Source organism: Homo sapiens, chromosome 18 (genome assembly GCF_000001405.40).
Source record: "Homo sapiens chromosome 18, GRCh38.p14 Primary Assembly".
NCBI classification, from domain to species: Eukaryota; Metazoa; Chordata; class Mammalia; order Primates; family Hominidae; genus Homo; species Homo sapiens.
Window position 1 is genome coordinate 47,152,351 of NC_000018.10, and position 24,043 is coordinate 47,176,393.

General features: G+C 38.8%; 1 protein-coding gene across 1 annotated transcript, besides 1 other annotated feature; it reads right to left on the reverse strand.

The window, feature by feature from the left end:
* Positions 1–483: 483 nt before the first annotated feature.
* On the reverse strand, positions 484–24,014 carry IER3IP1 (immediate early response 3 interacting protein 1). The gene is made up of 3 exons (NM_016097.5): positions 23,837–24,014; positions 5,086–5,187; positions 484–3,882 (listed from the first exon to the last, which is right to left on the reverse strand). The coding sequence occupies exons 1-3, from the start codon at positions 23,925–23,927 to the stop codon at positions 3,827–3,829; spliced, it is 249 nt and encodes an 82-aa protein (NP_057181.1). The 5' UTR covers positions 23,928–24,014; the 3' UTR covers positions 484–3,826.
* Positions 23,923–24,042: an enhancer, noted in NCBI's record as "active region_13285". NCBI's record gives its function as "activates an Ori minimal core promoter by ATAC-STARR-seq in GM12878 lymphoblastoid cells {active_cell/tissue: GM12878}" and the evidence as "EXISTENCE:reporter gene assay evidence [ECO:0000049][PMID:35858748]".

The following is a 24,043-nucleotide window of genomic DNA, read 5'->3' on the forward strand; positions in this document are numbered from 1 at the left end:
ACCCTTGGACATAGCCCACTGTGTCCCAGGTCCTTGCATCGAATGTTTTCACAATATTTGACTTCTAATGAAAAATCAGGGGCCAAGAGAAATCTTAGCAAAGAAGAATTCCATTACCATTGGTATCAAAATGTTATTTTTGTTGTTTTGAGACGGAGTCTCACTGTGTAGCCAGGCTGGAGTGCAGTGGCACAATCTCAGCTCACTGCAACCTCTGCCTCCCGGGTTCAAGCGATTCTCATGCCTCAGCCTCCCAAGTAGCTGGAATCACAGGCATGTGCCACCACACCCGACTAACTTTTGTCTTTTAATAGAGACAGGGTTTTGCCATGTTGGCCAGGCTGGTCTCAAACTCCTGACCTGAAGTGATCTGCCTGCCTCAGCCTCCCAAAATGTTGGGATTACAGGCGTAAGCCACCATGCCCAGCCTCAAAATGTTACATTGGTAATAACTTAGAAACTAATAAATCAATGAGAAAGTGATTTGCTTCATAAGAAACATTTTACTTAAGGAGAACATCTCTTTGGTTGAAGCACATCTAGATACAAACATTAGTGATCTGGAAAAGATATATATATATATCTGGACCAGACTTCTGTTCTGAAGGTTATTGACCAATTTTACAGATAGGACAACCAAAAACTACTGAGGTCTTAGGAAGTTTATTTGCTTTCAGTCACATGGTAAAAGGTTTGCTTGATATATTAGAAATATCTTGCCTCCTAGTCTTTTTACTAGTCAAATATCTTGCTTTCTCTTGTCATTTCACCAGTAATACACATCTAACACATATAGAACACAGATTGCCTACTCTTATTGTATCTAAAGCAAGGATTTTGATGGGGAGAGGAAGGTGGGGGAACTCATTTAGCTTTTTATTTCAATAGCTTTAGGGGTACAAGTGGTTTCTGGTTACATGGATGAATTGTATAGTGGTGTAAAGTCTGAAATTTTAGTGCACCCATCACTGGACTACTGTACATTGTACTCAGTATGTAGTTTCTGTTTCCCTCACCCCCTCCCACCCTCCCTAAAGCAGGGATTTTATTTTTTTATATTTTTACTTTTTTAACTTTTAGGGGTACAGTACATTTGTTAAATAGGTAAACTTGTGTCACGGGGGTTTGGCACAGATTATTTCGTTATCCAGGTGCTAAGCCTAGTACCCAGTAATTTTTCTGGCACTCTTTCTCACCCTCCACCCTCAAATAGCCCCCAGTGTCTGTTGTCCCCCTCCTTATGTCCATGAGGTCTTATCATTTAGCTCCCACTTATAAGTAATAACATGTGGTATTTGGTTTTCTGTTCCTACATTAGTTTGTTAAGGATGATGGCTTCCAGCTCCATCCATGTTCCCACAGAAGGTATTATCTAATTCTTTTTTATGGCTAAAGCAGGGATTTTTATAAGATACTTTTTAGCTATATTTTTGAAAATTTAGGGTTTTATGGAAATGCCTTGGGAAGCCTGACAAGAGTGCAGTGGAGGCTGAATAGTGAGCCTTTGAATCCCAGCTCTACTTCAACTAAAAACAAATAAATGGACCTACTCTCATCTGGTTTAGATACGGGAATGTTACAGTTCTGTGTCAGAATTCCTTTGAAAATCTGGTTCTGCTGTTAACTATAAAAGTTTGAAAACCACTGTACTTGATTAGCGATGAATTTGGTTAATATCTACAGACTAGAGCCAAGAACCTTCGCACAGTTCAGAGACATGCAAACACAGGGCCAGAATACATAAGGACTATAAACATCATCGGTATTTGGAGTCCAGAATCATCACAAATTGTTAATCCTGGTAATAGATAAAGGGGAGGACATGGGCAGGCCAACAGGCACTTAAGTTACTGTCTACTAAAATAACACACTCTGTTTACTGAATCACAACTGCTCTGGGGAAACCAGGGCTGACCAGTGAAAGCTTACAGACCCCTCTTCAGCCACAAACTGGAATTATGAAGTGGCCTCCAGATATGACATATTTTGATGTTCAGTTCAGTGCTTCACTTTCCTCAGAACTACTTGGCTACAGAATACTTTGATCCTGGCCCTTCTGTGACTGCTCCCTGATGGAATATTTGGACAAAATCCCAACACTGAATTAAGATGAAGGTATGCTGTAATGTCTTATATGAAAAATAACATCAGATCAAGGTCTCTCTTTTCTTTCATTTTAAAAAATTTTGTACTGCTCATACCATATGGGGAAATGGGCCTGCCCTCAAGTAACTGCTTCTTTTGAATCTTTTCAGTAGCTCAAACTTGAACTCAGGCATCAGTTCTTTGTAAGGCTAAAAGAACACGGCCTCTAAGTACCAAATTAGTCATTCACATGAGCCAAGTAATCAACTAAGAATCCTTGGTACTTTCCTTGGACTAGCTGCAAGCCTATAGTCCAAAGATCACTGATCTCTAACTTAGGAAAGGCCAAAAGGTACTTAATACCTGCTCCATAGTTTTAGAAGTAACTGAAGTCATGAAATAAAAGGTGCTCATGAGTCTTCTGGATGTATGTCAGCAATTCAGTTAATTCACTGAAGAAAAAAAAATACATGTAAATATTTACTTTCATTAACTCTATACTCGGCAATTTTACAGCAAAGAACATATAATAAGAGGTGTTCACCCAAAATGGAGATTAATGCAGTTAACACTGACAGGTTTATACTAAGGTACAAAAACAAGTGCTTGACTTAGAAATTTAACTTTATTTACAAATGTTCTCCTATAAACAAAGATGCCATTCTACACCTTTAAAATATTGTAACTGATAATTTCCATAAAAACCATTTACATAGTTTCAACCTTTCTGCATAAAACTGTATTATGAGATAGGCAAACAATCTCACAAGATGGTCTGAGACATAAAAACAAAAGACAACCTATCCAGCATCAATGTCCTATTGACAAACTCAATGAAGAATTAAGAATCACACTCCACAATGTGCTGCTCCACCAAGAAATAGAAATGTAATGATTTTTTGAAAGGTAAATGCTTCACAATAAACAGTCTTCTTGGGTAGTACAGTGTAATTGTGATTGTTTAGGACTGCTCTTGTGGGCTAATATTTACGCTGTTGTTTTTTTTAAATCATCATTGTAAAAAGGGCAGACTTATAGATTTTTCTGACAATGAAAATCTGTAGACACTGGTCTGGTCTCATCATTCAGGCAAATTAATAAAATAACAAGTGCATGGAAAGAATGTTAAACAAAAACATAATCATCATGTGACTGACAGAATTCTCCCTGAAATCAGAGAATATTAATACTCAATAGTATGTATAAATTTGAATTTATAGCTGAGACAATAGACAAAATAATTAACCAAGGAGCTTAAAATAAAATTATTCAAATTACCTATTTATCATTTTATGTGCAGTAATTACTTTTTAAAAATCCTTTTAATTTTATCTAGGGATAACCACTCACATCATGGCTAAGTTGCAAGGAACTTCAAAACTTTGAAAAAGAATTTCATCCCTGAGAAGTGAGAGATAGAAAAATATCTAAAAAAAGAGAAGCAACAGTCTTGCACCCTTTTAACAATCTCACCACAGCATGAACTACTATTAACACTGAGCAATCAGATATTCCAGTCCTGGAGAGTTACTGCCTTTCATGATCTGATCTTTTGTAATGAAACTACAAGTGCAACATTAAAAAAAAAAACAGATAAATAGAAACCCTGGTTTTATTTTCAGCTTTACATTTTTGACAAGTGCAAGGTCAGCCAGCTAAGATATAAATATTCCAATAATGACCAAAGTAATAACTTCTACTGGCATGTCCTCTTCTGAGTCTCCATTTTCTCCACTGATATTCATCCAAATAATAAAAGTAACACAATTGCAATTGAGTTTACTATTATCAATGGCACTGTAAAGAGAAAAAAAAAAGTTTGTTACTATAAAGAAAAAACAGAGAAAAAACCAGAAAATAATAATTAGCCTCCAGGAACAATAGAAATATCTAACAATATGTCATCATAATCATGTTGTAAAAAGTTATAACAAAGAAACATTCTAAAATACATTGGATCATGAGATCCAAAACTTATTTTAAAGAGAACTTGTATAACTGGGAGTAAGGGTTGCACTGGAACAGCTAGATCAATGTGAAACATCTGTGGATAGTCCCGGTGCAACCCCAAGAACATGAGTGCACTGGAGCCTGGCAGACGTAGACCCACAGGGTTGCCACTGACACTTGATATTAGAAATATAGTGCATAGAAGATTCTGTAGTGTCATTTTACTACATTAAAAATGAACTTATTTAACATTGTATCCAAGGTTGTGAGTAAAGGGAGAAGAGGTACTAATTATAATGGTTTTAAATAAAAGATTTTTGAACTCTTTTTTTCTTGAATTGCTCAAAAATATTTTCCAATAGAATGACAGATACGAAATCTCTATTTTTCTTTTTTCTTTTCTGGTTTTTTTTTTTTTTTTTTTTGAGACAGAGTTTTGCTCTGTCTCCCATGCTGGAGTGCAGTGGCGTGGCACAATCCCAGCTCACTGCACCCTCCACCTCCCGGGTTCAAGCCATCCTCCTGCCTCAGCCTCCCAAATAGCTAGGATTACAGGTATGCACCACTGGCTAATTTTGTATTTTTAGTAGAGACGGGGTTTCACCCATGTTGGCCAGGCTGGTCTCAAACTCCTGACCTCAGGTGATCTGCCTGCCTTGGCCTCTCAAAGTGTTGGGATTACAGGAGTAAACCAACACGCCCAGCTTTCTCTTGGAAACCTCCCAATACTGTATGTGATTTTACAACTTGGAAACAACAGTTTCCAAAAGGCAAGAATATAATTTTGTCTTTTAGCTCTGACAGGTAACACACAAACAGATTATATGTATTATACTAAGCATTCTATTTGTACCAACTGGCTTAGATAGAAGTAAGAAGCAAACTAAGAAAAAAAAAAAAAAAACCCAGTAACTTTCAAGCAGCAAAGCCATGTTAAAGAGAAAAAAAATTCCCACTACAAATGGCATATATGGTATTCACACTCAGAAGCCTTGCTACTTAAACCACAACATTAAAACTTAAGAATGCTCTATTAGCTTTTCTTCTTACCTCTCATCACGGTTCTTACAGATCGAATAAGGTTCATTAGCTGTGATTTAATTCCCGGCTCTTCTCCAAATCCACCAATTCCCTGGTCTGTTCCCCAGCCAACTGTATAATGTAAAGATTAGCTGTGTTAAAAGTTATTACACACTTGCCTTCCTCCCTGTCATCTTCTAAAAGATTAGTTTGAGACCTTGTTAAAGACAAAGTAGAAAGTCATATGACTTTTAAGAAAAGTTAAAACAATAATGAGTTAAATATTTGTTTTCTTTTTAACTTTTGATAGCAGCAACACCCTCATTTCACTACATTTACACTGATTTTATAAAACAAACTACAATCTAAATTATTCCATGGCATTTAATTTAGTGAAGATGATCTTTGTAACTGTTTTTTTCTCCTTTTTTTAAAATATCATACAAAATACTTCTCAAGTCACAACTAAAAACCAAAGCATACTGTCAAGCTATATAATTATTATAATTAGCTCAATTCAGAATTTATAAAATCCATCACAATCATTAATATAAAAATGCTGTAGCTGAGAATCACTGTCTACATTACTTGGGGAAACTTTTAAAGTAAACCTGGTAAAGTGGGAGTCAATCATAATACCAAAATACACAAATCTTTTCAAACACCAGGATACCAAATCTTGAAAATCCAAAAGATCAAAATCCTGAAGTCTAAAATCCCCAAAATGACAAGAAATATCAAAATCTCAAAAACGTAATTCTAGGAAGAATACTTTTTTAGATTCTTTTTCAAAAATTACCATAATATAGAGACAGGGTCTCACTTTGCTGCCTAGGCTAATATCAAGTGATCCTCCACCTCAGCCTCCCAAAGTGCTGGGATTACACAAGTACAAGCCACTGCATTCGGCCTAAGTATTTCTTTCTTTTTTTTTAAATTGAGACAAGGTTTTACTCTGTCACCCTGCTGGAGTTGCCCAGGCTGGAGTGCAGTGGTGTAATCACGGCTTACTACAGCCTCAACCTCCCCAAGTTCAGGTGATCCTCCCACCTCGGCCTCCCGAGTAGCTGGGACTATAGGCGCACGCCACCACACCCGGCTAATTTTTGTATTTTTAGTACAGATGGGGTTTCGTCATGTTACCCAGGCTGGTCTTGAACTCCTGGGCTCAAGCGATCGACCCACTTTGGCCTCCCGGATTACAGGCATGAGTCACCGCACCCAGCCCTCATTTACGTTTTTAAAAGGGGAGTTATCTTTTAAAGAATTTGGGGGCTGGGCATGGTGACTCACGCCTATAATTCCAGCACTTTGGGAGGCCAAGGCTGGTGGATCGCCTGAGCCCAGGAGTTCGAGACCAGCCTGGGTAACATGACGAAACCCTGTCTCTACTAAAAATACAAAAATTAGCCAGGTGTGATGGCGTGCGCCTGTAGTCCCAGCTACTCGGGAGGCTGAGGTGAGAGGATCACCTGAACCTGGGGGAGGTTAAGGCTGCAGTGAGCCATGATCATGCTACTGCACTCCAGCCTGGGCAACAGAGACCCTGTCTCAAATTAAAAATTTTTTTTAAAGAGGCAAATGTGTCATTTGAGAAACATAAAAACACAACAGAACACTTCAAAGGCCACTTTACACAAAAAAATAGGCAATGACAGCATATATATATTTTTGCAGCACTAAGGTATGCTAATGACAGTCACACAGGTATAACAGCCATGAGCAGGTGAACCATATTCACAAAGAGGTCAAAAAGGAAATGTATAAACACATTATCACTATGGTTAGTAAGTGTGCTCACCTAGCTTTATCTAACTGTGGTCATCTGAAGTACTGTGACAAACAACCTAAGTCTTTTGACAGATCAAAAACTACAGTAGGTCACCATTGCATATGCAATTGACCAAAGAGCCAAGATAACAAGAAATTTTATTTTTCACTAATGCAGACAGATATAAAGAACCTTTCTTTATTTACTGAGGAAGTTTCAACGTTTTTACATGCATGCACAATGCCTAAACACAAAGTCAACACTGTGGTAATGTACTTTTGCAGTCAAATTTGCAAAGAATGCATAAAACAAATTAGAACTCTCAAAAGTCTCTACACAGTTTATACCTCCAGTATTGCAAATGATGTAAAGATGAAATACATAGCATTGGGAATTGTAAAAAATCATGCTGACAATTGAAAATAGTGAAAACAACTGAAAAAGAAAAAGAAGAAAGCTGAAAAAAATCAACATGTGATAATGTGTTATTACAGGGAGAGATTATGGGCAATTGCATGGAGATATTCCTTAAGAGCTGGTTGGCTTTCTCCATCATTAACTATATTTTGATGTCCTACGTCACAATGAATAGCTGCTTTTTTTTTTCTTTTAGGACATGGCTCTCCTCAGACAAAATGTTCACGTTCATTTTCTAGGTGGCACTTGCTCTTTTTGAAATTCTTCTATGGTTTGATATACATCAACATGAGCTTTCCCTATTAAAAGTTCCCATCCTTGGCCGGGCGCGGTGGCTCACACCTATAATCCCAGCACTTTGGGAGGCCAAGGTGGGCGGATCACCTGAGGTCGGGAGTTCGAGACCAGCCTGACCAACATGGAGAAACCCCGTCTCTACTAAAAATACAAAATTAGCTGGGCATGGTGGCGCATGCCTGTAATCCCAGATACTCAGGAGGCCGAGGCAGGAGAATTGCTTGAACCCGGGAGGTGGAGGTTGTGGTGAGCCGAGACCGTGCCATTGCACTCCAGCCTGGGCAACAAGAGCAAAACTCCGTCTCAAAAAAAAAAAAAAGTTCCCATCCTCTGTGCCATGCTTCTGTGTTGTTTTGGGTACCCAGAAATACATTCCACATCCACTTATATAGAGACCACAAATTTGGTGGAAACAACACTGGTGATCAAACAGCAATACTGCTGCATCACTGTCTTCTTACCCTACTATGCACATAATTATTTTTGAACCAGTCAGTAACTTCGCTGGCTTCTTCAGGCAAATGCGGGTTCAATTCACTAAAAGTTCCTGGAATGCCATCGGCTGGAAGGAATGCTAACGCAGGCAAATGACACATTTTTAAACTGAAGTTTTCACCACTGCAGCATCTGGTAGCCAATCCACTCACCTGAATTTCCCACCAAATGCAAATAAAGACAAGAACATGGTAATAGTTCCGCCTAACATGATGCACCTAACATGATATAACTATCCTGTTTATACCCAAAAACACACTAATCCCTTCCCCAAAATTCAGCTTTCAAGATTTCAACATTCAGGATTTTAATCTTTTGGGGTTCAAAACATTAGGAATTATGGCATCCAGGACTTTTGAGATTATGATCCAAACCTGTAATAGCTTGGTTAGGCTTCCAAAACATGCTCTAGCCTGCCAGGAGGACATATCTTTTTTCCCCTTTTTCCTTGATCATTCCTCTTCATTTATTAATTTTGAGTTGAGGAATTTAGCCCACTACCCCTCTTATTCTCTGTGAGTCTTTTACATTCTTTTGTTATTCTCCTATGATACTACAAATCATTATTTCTTCACCCTTACGCATTAATTCTATTGTGTGACACATTCTTCTGAAGACTTACATGTCCTCATTTCTGCAATTTGTCCTTCTCTTGTCCTCATTTCAGGTCCACTTTTTCCTATCTCATATGACTACAGGGCTTAATTAATTCCTGACACGCTAACCCTTAAACTTGAAGAGAACAGTTTTTTTAAATAGATATACCTGAAAGACTCAAATATCAGGAAATAAGACTTCACTTTTAATCAACTTTTATTTGGTTGAAATAAAATGCTAAATAATGGTTGTTTGCTTTTTTGTCACTGAGATATGCTGTGGTATAAAACTAATTTAAAATTCAAGTTTACAACAGGGCTGTTGTTGACTCCTACTCACTCTTCACAGAACCTAGCTCAGGTTCTGCTTATAGCGCTTCCAGTCCACAGGGGTTTCGTTCTTTTTTGAATTCCCATAGTACAACTACCATCACAGTTGTCACTATCGCAGCCTTTGCTATCTCTTGCAAGACTCTTTCAATAGATAACCTTGTAATCTTGATGTCTCAACCCTTTGAGTTTTCTCCCTTAAAGGGTTAGATCTTGCTACCTCGATTCCCATTGCCTACTGAATAAGGACCAAACTCCTTAAATTGACATTCTAGTTTTATATCCTACCACACCCTTCCAAGTATTCCTATTTGCAGTCAGTTACTCCAGCAGTCCCCAACCTTTGTGGCACCAGGGACTGGTTTCATGGAAGACAATTTTTCCACAGATGGGTTGGGGGGTGGTGGTGGTTTCAGGATGATTCCAGTGCATTACATTTATTGTGTACTTTATTTCTATTATTATTACATTGTAATACATACTGTAATAATTATACAACTCACCATAATGTAGAATCAGTGAGAGCCCTAAGTTTGTTTTCCTGCAACTAGATGGCCCCAACTGGGGATGATGGGAGACAGTGATAGATCATCAGGCATTAGATTCTTACAAGGAGTACACAACCTAGATCCCTAGCATGCACAGTTCACAACAGGGTTCATGTTCCTATGAGAATCTAATGCCATCACTGACCTAACAAGAGGCAGAGCTCAGGCACTAATGTGGGCCATGGGGAGTGGCTGTAAATACAGATGATACTTAGTTCACTCATCTGCCACTCACCTCCTGCTGGGTGGCCCAGTTCCTAATAGGTCCGTGAGAGTAATTTAGGGGTCCCCAACCCCCAGGCCACAGACCTATTAGGAAAATTATTCTGGAAATTGGCCAGTTGTCGGAAGAAAGACTTCCTCCCAATACTGACATTTGGGGGCCTCACCTCAATGAAATAGCCAATTTCTTCATTCACTTAACACTGAGACACCAGTAAACAAGCCCTGACTACACACATGGAACTTCCAAAGAGCTTCTCAGTCCCTTACAATTAAACAAATAGTCAAGAAAGAACAATTCTTAATATGGAAAGACATATCAAATAGAAATGGAGACTCTAAGGAAGAGAAGATGCAAGAAGTAGAAAAATGCATTTTTTAAATGAACATCCTTAGATAAAAGCCATTGTAGCTATGAAACAAAAACAGAATACCCTAAGAACAGATCCCATCCAGGGATCAAGCAGCTCTTGCTACATTAGGATTAAAAGTTCAAAAACAGGGGTTGAAAGATGAAATTAAGAACACCTACCAAACACAATTGAAGAAAAAAGAAAATTGGAGTATAAATCTGTCAAAATAATCAGTTCCAAAAAGAAAGAAAAAAAAAGAGGCAATTATTGAAGAAATAATAAGTGAAAAGATCCCCAAACGAAGGACATGAGCCTTTTTAGCCAAAAGGGTCCAATCAGAAAACAGCCCAATGAATGAGAAAATTAAAAGGTACAATGTCTTCAAAACTCTGCAGAAAAATTAGTTTCAATCTAGAATGCTATATCTACATCACAAATCAACTATAAGAATAAAAGTCATTTTTTTTTACCATTCAGCTATGAGCAATATTCATAGTGATAATGTAAATATGGAATGCTGATATAACCAATAATTGGTTGGAGAAGGGAGAGTTTGAGAAGTATGTGTACAGTAATCCCCCCTTATCTATGGGGCATATACTCCAAGATCCCCAGGGGATGCCTGAAACCATAGATAGTACCAAACCCTATATATACTATATATATTTTTCCTATATATGCACACCTCTGGTAAAGTTTAATTTATAAATTAGACATAGTAAGAGATTAATAACAGTAACTCATAATAAAATAGAGTAATTATAACAATATGCCAACATCACTGCTCTTACACTTTAGGGTCATTATTAAGTAAAATAAGGGTTAAACATAAGCACTGCGATATTACAACATTTACTCTGATAACCAAGACAACTGCTAAGTGACTAACAGCTAGCTGAGGCAGGCAGCATACATAGCACGGAGATGCTGGACAAATGAGTAATTCATGTCCCAGGTGGAATGGAATAGGACGGTGCAAGACTTCATCATGCTACTCATAACAGCCCACAATTTAAAGTGTATAAATTACTTATTTCTGGAATTTCCCATTTCAGTATTTTCAGACTGTGATTGACTGCATGTAACTGAAACTGTGGAAAGCGAAACTGTGAAATAAGGGAGGACTAGTATACTTGTGCTCGCTCAAGCCTGAGTGTGCTGCTGGTGGTATAATTGTGTGAAACCCTTCCATAGCATAAGTCAATAGTTTGCTTCTAAGGAATGGGGCTCAGGTCGAGGAGGAATGAGGCAAATGGCTTCTATCTTTCTTTATAAACTGATGAGCTTTTTGACTTTGAAAATCATACACATATTACTTTGATAAAAGTAAAAACAAAATTTAAAAAGAAAGCCCTCTGCAATTAGGTCTTCCTCCCCACAACATGAATATCCTGAGGGCTAGGATGAGTTCTGTGGCATCATGTTATTTAAAATTATGTTTTAAAACCACCTTTACATGGTATTGATAGTTTCATTTTCTTTACTTGTTTTAAAATGTATCATTGGTAAAATTATCAATCCTTTCCATCCACAGCCACAATTTCGCATATGGTAAAAAGGATTTGTCTTAAGTACTATATGGATTATGCACTCAATTTTTATTGGAAACCATACTTCCCAGCAATCTTTTTTTCTTTTAGATCTGTTCCAAAAAATTGCTTAAACATATTTTTTCACATGTGAGATGAGTGACTCCCAGAAAAAAAAAATTGCTCTTCAACAAAACAAGATAAAACTCTACAATACCGGAATTAACATAATTTAAGCATCACCACTGAAGTAATTTAAACATATAGTAAGTTAGTTAATTGCAGCCCAGTCTCTATTCTTATGCCACCAGAATGAAAAAAAAAAATGGATGGAGAATTTTTGGATGGAGAGAGTAAATAATTAGTCTAGATATTCCACATACAAATAAAAATGTGACAAGTAAAAGATCAGGGGCCAGGGATTATCTTTTACTAAAACAAATAGTTTACCCTCCAACTGCTATATAGGGAGTCTCAGTTGTTTTTCTCAGGAACCTAGCCAAAGCTTTAAGAAGCATTGCTGTTTTTCGTTTTTTTTTTTTCTTTTTAAGAGAAAGATTTGGCCGGGTGTGGTGGTTCACACCTACAATTCCAGCACTTTGGGAAGTTGAGGTGGGAAGATTGCTTGAGCCCAGGAGTTCGAGACCAGCCTGACAAAAAGTTAAAAAGTTAGCCAGGTGTGGTGTTATGCTCCTGTAGTCCCAGCTACTCAGGAGGCTGAGGTGGGAGCACTGCTTGAGCCTGGAAGGCCAAAGCTGCAGTGAGCTGTGATCATGCTACTGCACTCCAGCCTGGGTGCCAGAGACCCTCTTTCCAAAAAAAAAAAACAAGAGAGAGAGAGAGAGATTTAATTCTCTGGCTTTCTTGTCACTTCCACAGCTAGAGGGCCTGGCAGAGAATAAATGATAAGACCAGTCAGCAGTACTTGCTGCCTTAATTTCAGAAATAAAGTTGAATAGAAAAAGTTACTGACTGCAACCACCAAACACATTCTTCTGCTGTCCAGACTTCAAAAAGTCACATACAAAATGGCAATCCATCCAGGCTCAGCCAAAAACGCTCGACACACATATTTTGAAGAAAAAGTACTAGTAACAGTTTTGAGAGCTTGCTGACCCTGAGCAGATCTCAGCCTCTCTGAGATCAATTTCCATATCTGTAAAAGAAAATGAAAGTGATTTTGTCAATGTTACCAAGTTTACATGTGATCAAATGCTATCATAAACATGAAAGTGCCTAATAAACTACACAAAGAACTCTGCTAATGTAAGTTTTTAAAAAGTACCTTTATCAGAAAGATCAATGGTGGCCAGGTGTGATGGCTCACGCCTGTAATCTCAGCACTTCGGGAGGCCAAGGCGGGCAGATCACTTGAGGCCAGAAGTTCAAGACCAGCCTGGCCAACATGGCAAAAAACCACCTCTACTAAAACTACTAAAATTATCTGGGCGTGGTAGCATGTGCCTGTAATCTCAGCTACATGGGAGGCTGAGGCATGAGAATCGCTTGAACCCAGGAGATGGAGGTTGCAGTGAGCTGAGATAGTGCCACTGCACTCCAGCCTGGGGGACAGAACAAGACTCTGTCTCAAAAAAAAAAAAAAAAGATACATGCAGAAGTAAATTATCTGGTATACTGCTTTTTCTTAGTTCTATATTATTTCCATTTAATCCCTGATAAAATTCAACAAAAGCTTTTTAAAATTCAACAATAGCTCACTCACTATTTTAAAATCTAAAATAATATATTGGTCTAGAGCCATCATTTATTAATAAACCCTAAATCAAGTAATAGTGTGTGGTATGTTAACTGTTTGCTATGGCCTGAAGCCTGGCCATCTGCAAGCCAGAAAGAGGGCCCTCACCAGAACCAAGCCATGCCAGTACCCTGATCCTGGACTTCCAGGCTCCAGAACAGTGAGAAAATTGTTTAAGCTACCCAGTCTATAGTATTTTGTTATGGCAGCCTGAGCTGACTAATACACTGATTTATGTGAGGGATGTTTCTATTGTGGTGTTCATAACATATACCTAGTACTGGATATGATAAATACTTGTCAAACTGGTACTGGATAAAGCAAACAAAAACTCTAGTAAGAACAATTTTTTGCAGGTATCAAAATCCACTTCATTATGTGGCATTTTTTTTTTCTTGCACTAAAAGGAAATTAACATCATTGTGGAAAACTGGAAGAAACCACATATTCCCTGTATCACTGTCAAAATATTGGCTAAATTATTTATAAGAATACACATATCCCTCATATCAGGAATTGCAAGAATATAATGATAAAGTTATTTAATTATTTAGAAAACATTCGTTGATTGACAGAACTGTAAAGATAAGAGGATCCTTCTCAGTCTACTGGCCTCGACAGAAAAGAAACTACAGTGATGCTATGACCCATGGAGATGGGTCACAGACAGTTTGTGGGAAAGGGCAATGCCAGAGGTAGGTCTTAACTGACAGGCTGAGGAGTTAACCACTTAAAGGGGTTAAGTCAAGGTCACTAATGAGTAAAGGCTCAGCAGTGGTAAAAATGGTACACAGGACAAATACTGGGGAAGGATAAAAGAGGAGGGGGAGGAGGAAGGGGCACCTTATGGTAGGCTTGTAAATCACATGAGAGTGTTGAAGTTTATATTGAAGGCTACAGATACTGAAGAACTGAAGAATTTCAAACCACTGAAGAACAAGCTCAGCTTCACCTGAGAGAAGCGAAACTGGAGGCAGGATGACCAGTAAGGAGTTTGCTACAAAAATCTATGCTTGCTTATCTAAAAACCCAAATTAAAAACAAATAAAATAAAAAAACCTAGGCAACAAGAAAGCACCTATATAAACAATATTTAGTAAGTATTTAAAATATTTTAAACTTCTATTTTAAAACATATTTAGATATTTTTAAACAACCTTATCCACTTAGACAAGCCAATGTAGTGTGTTCCCTTAATTTGGAGACCACATTCAAAACACATTCTCAGGCAAAATATTTCTAGGCTACCTCTGTAGAGAAGACAAAATGTGGAAGACAAAGTTCCAGACGGCAAAGTATTAATATTTCTGGGCCATTCTAATAGTTTGTAGCAGTTTTTTTTTTTTTCTGAGATGGAGTTTCACTCTGTCACCCAGGCTGGAGTCCAGTGGCGCAGTGTCAGCTCACTGCAACCTCTGCATCCTGGGCTCAAGCCATTCTCTTGCCTCAGCCTTTCAAGCAGCTGGGATTACAGGCAGAGTGTCACCAAGCCCGGCTAATTTTTGTACTTGAGGAGAGACAGGGTTTCACCATGTTGGCCAGGCTGGTCTCGAACTCCTGACCTCAGATGATCTGCCCGCCTCAGCCTCCCAAAAGGCTGGGATTACAGGCATGAGCCAATGCACCCGGCCCCCTGTACCAGGAGTTTTTAATGTAAGGGCACAAATCTCAATCACCTGCACAAATTTTGGAAAATACACACTACTGAACTTCACTTTAAAAATCTGAATATAGATCTAGAGTAGGGTTTGGGCATTATATTTTTTAAATGCTCTTTTAATAATTCTGAAATATACTTTCAAGTGAGAATTACTGGTTTATTGGAACAATGGCTTTAAATACACAAAATTGAGACCATTCTACAAATTCTGAGATGCTACAGACATCATACAAATCTATGCTTTCCTAAATTAGCTGTGGAGATGGAATGGAATTACAGTATATTTTATATTACCCCAATCAATAATGTGAAGTTAACTGTCACTTATTATTCTCCAATTAGCTCATATAGTTTATTTAAATAAATTACATTCCTTGAAGGCAAGAACCAAGTATTTCTCTTATAAACCCAAAATGTCTGAAACAATGTTAGACACATTGCAGGTGTTCTAAAACATATCCCAGTTGTGCGTGGTGGCTTAAACCTGTAATCCCAGCACTTTAGGAAGCCGACGCGGGTGGATCACCTGAGGTCAGGAGTTCAAGACCAGCCTGGCCAACATGGTGAAACACAGTCTCTACTAAAAATACAAAAATGAGCCAGGCGTGGTGGCGGCAGCACCTGTAGTCCCAGCTACTCAGGAGGCTGAGGCAGAAGAATCACTTGAACCTGGGAAGCAGAGGTTGCAGTGAGCCGGGATCGTGCCACTGCACTCCAGCCTGGGTGACAGAGCAAGACTCCGTCTCAAAAAAAAAAAAAAAAAAAAAAAAAAAAAATTTTAGCTAGGTGGTGGTGGGTTCCTGTAATCCCAGCTATTCGGCAGGCTGAGGCAGAATTGCTTGAACCTGGGAGGCAGAGGATGCAGTGAGCAGAGATCATGCCATTGCACTCCAGCCTGGGCCACAGTGCAAGACTCCATCACAAAAAAAAAAAAAAAAAGACAAAAAAAATCCCTTAAGTTTCACCTAAGGGTAGAATAATCAAAGACTTGTTATTAAACATAACTAACAAGATGAAATGAACATTATTCAGCCTGTAGCATTAGTGAGTATTAAAAGCTCATTAGATTTCAAAACCATGAAGGAAGATAGCAATATAGATTAGTTATGTCTATTTTTAAACTTTAGGTAAAGGAATTATCCAATATATATTCTTTTGTGCCTGTCTTTTGCTCAAATTGTGTCACAGTCATCCATATTGCTTTGTAGGACCACAGTTCATTCTTTTTCATTGTTATGCAGCATTCCATTATATGAATACAATTTAGTCATTCTACCATTTCTAATTTTCATTATGATTATGCTGCTATGAACATTCTCATACATGTCTTTTGGTGCACATATTTATGAGCATTTGTATAAGAGTGAAACTGTAGGACCATAGAAGATGTGTATGATGAGCTTTAGTTACTTCTGCCAAAAAGTTTTTCAAAGTGGTTGTGCCAATTTATACTTCCATCAGCAGAGTATGAGTTCACACTGTTCTATAACCTTATCAAAACTTCCTATTTTCAGGTAAGAATGTGTAATTCAAAAAACAAACAAAGACCCTCCAGCTTTCTGGATACCTTACAATTCATACATATAATTAAATGGTTTGAAGTACATTCAGAGTTGTGCAACTATCACCACATTCAATTTTAGAGTATTTTTACCACCCCAAAAGAAACCCTGTACACATTGGCAACCACTTCCCACAACCTCAGGCCCTCCAGCACCAAGCAACCACTAATCTACTTTCTGTCTATATAAAATTGCCTAGCATAAAGAGTATCACATGCTATGTGGTCTTTCTTATAAACAGTATCATATGATATGTGGTCTTTTACGACTAGCTTCTTTCACTTAATATAATGATTTCAAGGTTCATCCATATTGTAGTGTGTAATAATACTTCATTACTTTTTTGCCAAATAGTATTCTACAGTATAGATATCTACAGTTTAGTCATCAGCTGATGGACATCTGGGTTGTTTCCATTTTTTGGCTTTTATGAATAATGCTATTTTGAACATTCCATGTTTGTTTTCAATACTCTTGGTATACCTAGGAGTAGAATCACTGTGTCATATAGTAACCATGTTTAACATTTTGAGGAACAGCCAGACTGTTTTCCGAAGTGGCTGAACCATTTTACATTCTCTTTAACAATATACGACAATTCCAATTTCTTCACCACCTCACCTATACTTGTTATTATTTAGTGTTTTTAACTTTTTTATTTATTATATTTATTATTTATTAACTTTTTTATTATAGCCATCCTGGTTGGTGTGAAGTGGTATCTCATTATGGTTTCGGTTTGCACTTCTCTAATGATTAATAATGTTGACCATCTATTCATGTGCTTATTGATCATTTGCTTATGTTCTTTGGAAAAAATTCTATTCAGTTCCTTTGTAAATGTTTTAATTGAGTTATTTATCTTTTATTATTTAGTTCAAATAGTTCTTTATATATTTTGGATAGAAATCACTCATTAGATACCTGAGTTGTAAATATTTTATCACAGTCTGTGGTTGTCTTTTAAAGCATGAACTTTTTAAAATTTTGATGAAATCCAATTTATCTATTTTTTCTTTGGCACTTGTGCTTCTGGTATCGTATCTGAGATGGTTTTACCCAACCAAAACTCACAGAGCTTTTTGTCTGTATGTTCTTCTAAGGGTTGTATAGCTTTTTATCTTACAGTTTGTAAGTCTATGATTATGAGTTAATTTTTGAAGATGGTGTGAGGTAGGAGTCCAATTTTACTTTTTTTTATATGGCTATTCAGTTATTATAGCACAATTTGTTGAAAAGGCTATTTGGCACCCTTATTGAAAATCAATTGATATAAATGTAAGGATTTTTTAATGGACTTTAAATTCTATTTCATTGATCTATGTCTCCCCTTATGCCAGCATCATCCTGTTTTGATTATTGGACCTTTGCACTAAGTTTTAAAATTGGAAAGCACAACTCCTCCAATTTTGTTCTTCTCTTTCAAGATTGTCTTGACTATTCTGGATTCCTTGCATTTTCTCTAGGATCAACTCATCAGTTTCTTCAAAAAAGCTAACTGGGATTTTGATAGACACCACATTAAACCTATAAATCAATATTAAGTACTATCATCTTAATAATATTAAGTATTCTGATCTGTGAATATGGGAAGTCTTTATCTTTAAAAAGATCTTTAATCTTCTTTCTTTCAACAATGCCTTATAGTTCTCATAGCATGAAACTTGTACTGTTAAATTTATTCCTAAGTATTTCATCCTTCTTAATATTGTAAATAAAATTATTTCCTTTATTTCATTTACAATTGTTCATTGTGCACAGAAAAACAAATGATTTTTATATAGTGTTCCTAAATCCTGCAATCTTATTAAACTCATTCATTTGTCCTAATAGCCTTGTAGTGGACTCTTTAGGATTTTCTATATATACAAAATTATGTCATCTATAAACACAGTTTTATTTTTTCAACCTCATAATCTGGATGTCTTTTCTTTTTTCTTGTCTAACTGTCCTGGTTAGAATCCCCATTATGATGTTAAATAAAAATGGCAAGAGAGGACATCCTTGTCTTATTCCACATCAGGGAACGAATTTAGTGTTCCAGCATTAAGTATGATGTTAACTAGGGAATTTTCATACATGCTCCTTATCAGATTAAGAAAGTTCCCTCCTATTGTTAGTTTGTTGAGTATTTTTTTTTTATCATGAAAGGGTACTGGATTTTTGTCAAATGCCTTTCTGCATTTTTTGTGAAGACTGTGTGATTTTTATTAATATCACTGATTACATAACTGATTTTCAAATGTTAAACCAATCCTGTACTCCCAAGATAAATCAAATCCCACTTGTTCATGGTATATAATCTCTTTTATAGGTTGCTAGATTTAGTCTGCCAGTATTTCGTTGAGAATTTTTGCAGCTATATTCAAAAGAGATATAGGTCGATAGTCTCTTTTCTTGTGATGTCGCTGTCTGGTTTTCATATTAGGTTAATACTGACATCATGGCATGAATTGAAAAGTGTCCTATCCCCTCCATCTTTTGGAAGAGTTTGTGAGAAATTGGTATTAAGTCTTCTTTAAATGTTTGGTAGAAAGCAATGCTGAAGGCTTGACTTCATGAGAAGTTTTTAAATTATTCATTATCTCTCTTTGTATGTTATAGGTCTATTCGGATTTCCCATTTACTTGAGTCTAGTCAGTCTAGCTAAAGACTTGTCAATTTTGTCAAGGAATCAGCTTTTGGTTTTGTTAATTCTAGTATTTTTCTACTATGTATTTCATTAACTTTCACTGTAATCTTTATTACTTCCTTCCTTTTGCTTTTTTTTTGTGGAGGCTGCGAGAGCAGGTTGTGGCTCAAATGACAGAGACTATTACTGTTCTGAGATTTAGCAGACTGACATTTCTCTTTTTTGGTCTTTTTTTTTGAGACAGGGTCTCACTGTGTCGCCCAGGCTGTAGGGTGGTGGTGGGATCTCAGCTCACTCCAACCTCCGCTTCCTGGGTTCAAGCCATTCTCCTGCCTCAGCCTCCCCAGTAGCTGGGTGCCACCACACCCAGCTAATTTTTTGTATTTTTAGTAGAGACGGGGTTTCTCCACGTTGGCCAGGCTGGTCTCGAACTCCTGACCTCAAGTGATCCGCCCACCTTGGCCTCCCAAAGTGCTGGGATTACAGGCATGAGCCACGGTGCTGGGCCTTCTGTTTTGGTCTTTCTTAGAAAACATTTTGTGTATATGCCTCACTGATCATCCCCTCCTCCACTCTCTTCATAGTGCTGACTTGTTGAAGAGACAGGGCTAGTTTTCACTGTCACTGCTGAGATACCTCAAGCTCTAAAAACAAAACCACCACCATAAAACACACCCCCATATCCCTTCAAGCTACCTTTTCTTCTTTTCCTCCAACTTAAAGATAACATTGGATAATATTACTGTCTCCATTTTATAACTTTCTACTCACTTCCCAATCCATTCCAATCTGGATTTTACCCACTGCTGTAATTGCTCTTATAAAATCACCAATGACCTCCACTACCCTGAATCAGGATTCTTTTCAGTCCTTAACTTACAGTAGTCCTCCCCCTTAATCTTGGAGATACACTTCAAGATTCCACAGTAGATGCCTGAAACAGAAGATAGTACCCAACCGTATATGTAGTGTATTTTTTTCAATCTGATAACCAAGTGACTAATAGGTGGGTAGCATATACAATGTGCATATGCTGGACAAAGGGAAGATTCATGTCCTCATGATACAGGATTCATCACGCTACTCAGAACAGCTTGCAATTTAAAACATGAATTGCTTATTTCTGCAATTTTCCAATTAGTACTTTCAGATGGCAGGCTACAACTGAAAAGTGTGGAAAGACAAACCACAGATGAGGGGGGACTACTGTACTAAGCTACTCAGTAACATCCCACTGTTGTAGTATCTCTTCAAACACTTCCTGACTCTGGTGAAATCCCACTGTCTAGGTTTTTCCATCTCTCTGTTTTGCTCACTTGTCAAGTTCTCCTGTCAGTTCTTCCATCTCTACCTAAACAATAAATACTAGAGGAGATTCTAGGGCTGTCTGGGGCACCAATTCTTTTTGTACTCTACTGTTTTCTTTCATAATTTCATCTTCTCACATGACTTCATTTATTATCTATGCTTGACAAACTCAAATTTCAATCTCCGCCCTAATTCGTGCTGCTGTTCTATGGATTTAAATGCAACTGGCTATTTTACATCTCCACTTGCGTATCTCATAGAAATCTCAAACTGAGCATGACTAAAATTTATTTCATTATATCTTCACCTTCTTACCTAGCACCATCACCCCAAATTTTCCTCCAATACTGTTTAACTCAGTAAAGGTATTACCCTTCACTCAGTGGCTTAACCCAGAGGGCCAAGAGATCTTTGACTTCATCCACTCTTATTCCCAAAGTCCAAGAGTAAATTCTGCCTTTTATACCTTTTTTTTCTTCCTTCGAGACATAGTCTTGCTCTGTCACCCAGGTTGGAGTGCAGTGGCGTGATCTCAGCTCAATGCAACCTCTGCTTCCCAGGCAAGTGACTCTCCTGCCTAAGCCTCCAGAGTAGCTGGGATTACAGGCGCCCACCACCACACCCTGCTAATTTCTGTATTTTTAGTAGAGACAGGTTTCACCATGTTGTCCAGAGTGGTCTCAAACTCATGACCTCAAGTGATCTGCCCACCTTGGCCTCCTAAAGTGCTAGGCATGAGCCACCATGCCCAGCCTCTACTTTTAAAATATCTTTTGATCCACATAAAATTCCTAGGGCTGCCATAACAAAGCAGCACAAACTGGGTGGCTTAACAGAAATTTTTTCATAATTTTGGAGGCTAAAAGTCTGAAATCAAGGCGTAAGCAGGGTTGGTTCCTTCTGGGGGGCTCTGAGGGATAATCTCATCCATGCCTCTCTCTTAACATCCAGTAGTTGCTGGAAATCCTTGGTATACCTTGTCTTATATATGCATCACTCCAATCTCTGCCTCAGTTGTCACATGATCTTCTGCGTGTGCATCTGTGTGTCTCCAAATCTCTCTTTTCTTATAAGGGCACCAGTCATTGGCTCTAAAGCCCTCAATCTAACCCAGTATGATCTCATCTTAACTTGATTATATCTGCAAAGACTCTGTTTCCAAACAAGGTCACCTTCATAGGTATCAAGGGTTGGGACTTCAACACATCTTTTTGAGGGACACAATTCAAACCCCAACTTGATCCCTTCTACTTTTCTGGATAGCGGTGAACAGATGAACTCTGGAAGATGACATTTGAATCCTAGCTCCACCACTTTCTACTTTCTACCTGTGTGTTCTTACAAAAGCCACCTACTCTCTTTGTGATTCTAGTTTTCCACTGGAAAACAGAAACTCTCTCATAGAGTTGCTGTGAAGGCTACACCAGTTAATATATGTAAGGCACTTGATACAGATCCTGTACGTAAGTGCTACGTAAGTATTAGCTATTATTATTGTTGTCATACCCACTTGTATCTACTTGCCCTATTTAGAATTGTTCTTCCTTGGGAGGCCGAGGTGGGCAGATCACGAGGTCAGGAGTTCGAGACCAGCCTGACCAACATGGTGAAACCCCATTTCTACTACAAATACAAAAATTAGCCAGGCTTGGTGGTGCGTGCCTGTAATCCCAGCCATTCGGGAAGCTGAGGCAGGAGAATCGCTTGAACCTGGGAGGCGGAGGATGCAGTGAACCGAGATTGCGCCACTGCACTCCAGCCGGGGGGACAGGGTGAGACTCCGTCTCAAAAAAAAAAAAAAATGGGTCTTCCCACATCCACTGCTTTCCCTTCCAATCTTTCCTCCGTATTGTAGCCTCAAGGATCTTGCAAATAACACAAATCTGGTCATGTCGCTGTCTTAAGACCCTCTTCTCACCTGCCTCAGTTTTCACACCAGGTCTACACTGCTTAAAGCTCTCCTCACCCTTCCAGCTCCTCCCAACCCTTCACCTTCACCGAGTTAATGTTTACTCATGTATCAGATTTCAGGTTAGACACGCTTCCTCCAAGAAGCTTTCGCAGATACACAAGTTAGTATCTGCCCGTACTTCTCTTACATAATACTCTCTATACTTGTTATTGTCATTTGTTTAGTTTTTATTTAGATTAACTTCCATCAGAAGGGCAGAGTAGCTGCTGTAACTTCAGTTACTATAAATGGGCCTGGCACATACTTTGCACTCAATAAATATCTTCTGAAGTAAATGAAATGAATCAATCTTGCTCCTGGGTTTACGTTTCAGTGATTCAAACGGGCATACTTGGTACACAACGTGAGGTCCTGGAAGGTATAACTTGTGTTTTCATTTTTGAATTTCTAAATTCTAGCAGAGTTTTTGGCACACTCTATGCACCCAATAAGCTATCTGAATAAACTTTTCTTGGAACATGAGTGTCTGAATGTCCTGATAACTCCAACACGTTCCCTTCCTGTAATTCCTAAAGCCCAGGAACACTTATTGCCTTCCATCAGTTAGTGAACTACTGATGCTCCAAAATGGGTCACGCCTCCTTCCCCTCCACACCCAACTCGTTTTGTTTTGTTTGTTTTGTTTTGTTAGACGGAGTCTCACTCTATTGCCCAGGCTGGAGTGCAATGGCGCAATCTCGGCTCACTGCAACCTCTGCCTCCCAGGTTTAAGTGATTCTCCTGCCTCAGCCTCCCGCCCGGCTAATTTTTGTATTTCCACCACCACGTCCGGCTAATCTTTGTATTTTTAGTAGAGACGGGGTTTTACCATGTTGGCCAGGCTGGTCCCAAACTCCTGACATCATGATCCGCCGGCCTCGGCCTGCCAAAGTGCTGGGATTACAGGCGGGAGCCACCGCGCCCGGCCCCACACCCCCAACTCTTAGCCCGAAACTCAGACCCCGGGTTTTCGACTATTAAAAGTAGTCACAGGACCGCGACACTGCACTTCAGCCTGGGCAAAAGAGCGAGACTCCCCCTCAAAAAAAAAAGTAGTCACAGAAAACTGAATTAAATTACTGACCTGAAGTAATCGCAAGCAGAGGCGTCCCTGACTGACTTCTATATCCCTCCACCCCAACCCCCTGGGCCCTGCACAGCGGGTGTCTGTTGAATATTCTCCCGGCTGTTGAGCCCAAACCTGATGAGAGGAAAGGCTCGGCTTCCACTCCAAGCCGAGCCTTCCGCTGTTCTTCTGTCCCGGCCCTTGGTGTCCCCTCACGCGGCCCCATTAGGTTACGCGCCCCCGGGGACTCCGCCGCCGCCCCAGCCCGCGCCCCGCGGTCCCACTCACTGTTCTTGAGGAATCGCTCCTCGTGCAGCACTGCGATGGCGTTGACGCAGAGCAGGGCTGCCTGCAGCAGTGAGTACAGGGTAAAGGCCATGGCCGTCCGAGGCCGCCCCGAAGTCCAAGCGATTTCTCTCCCGCCGCCGCAAGGGACGTGGCGCCTCCACGGCCGGCGCCTTCCTACGGAAGCCGATGGGGCCCAAAACGAACTCT

Coding starts and splice junctions, on each gene's coding strand:
- IER3IP1 (NM_016097.5), bottom strand. CDS start 23,927: ATGGCCTTTACCCTGTACTCACTGCTGCAGGCAGCCCTGCTCTGCGTC. Junction 5,188..23,836: donor GGAGCGATTCCTCAAGAACA/GTGAGTGGGACC, acceptor TACATTATACAG/TTGGCTGGGGAACAGACCAG. Junction 3,883..5,085: donor TGTAAGAACCGTGATGAGAG/GTAAGAAGAAAA, acceptor TTCTCTTTACAG/TGCCATTGATAATAGTAAAC.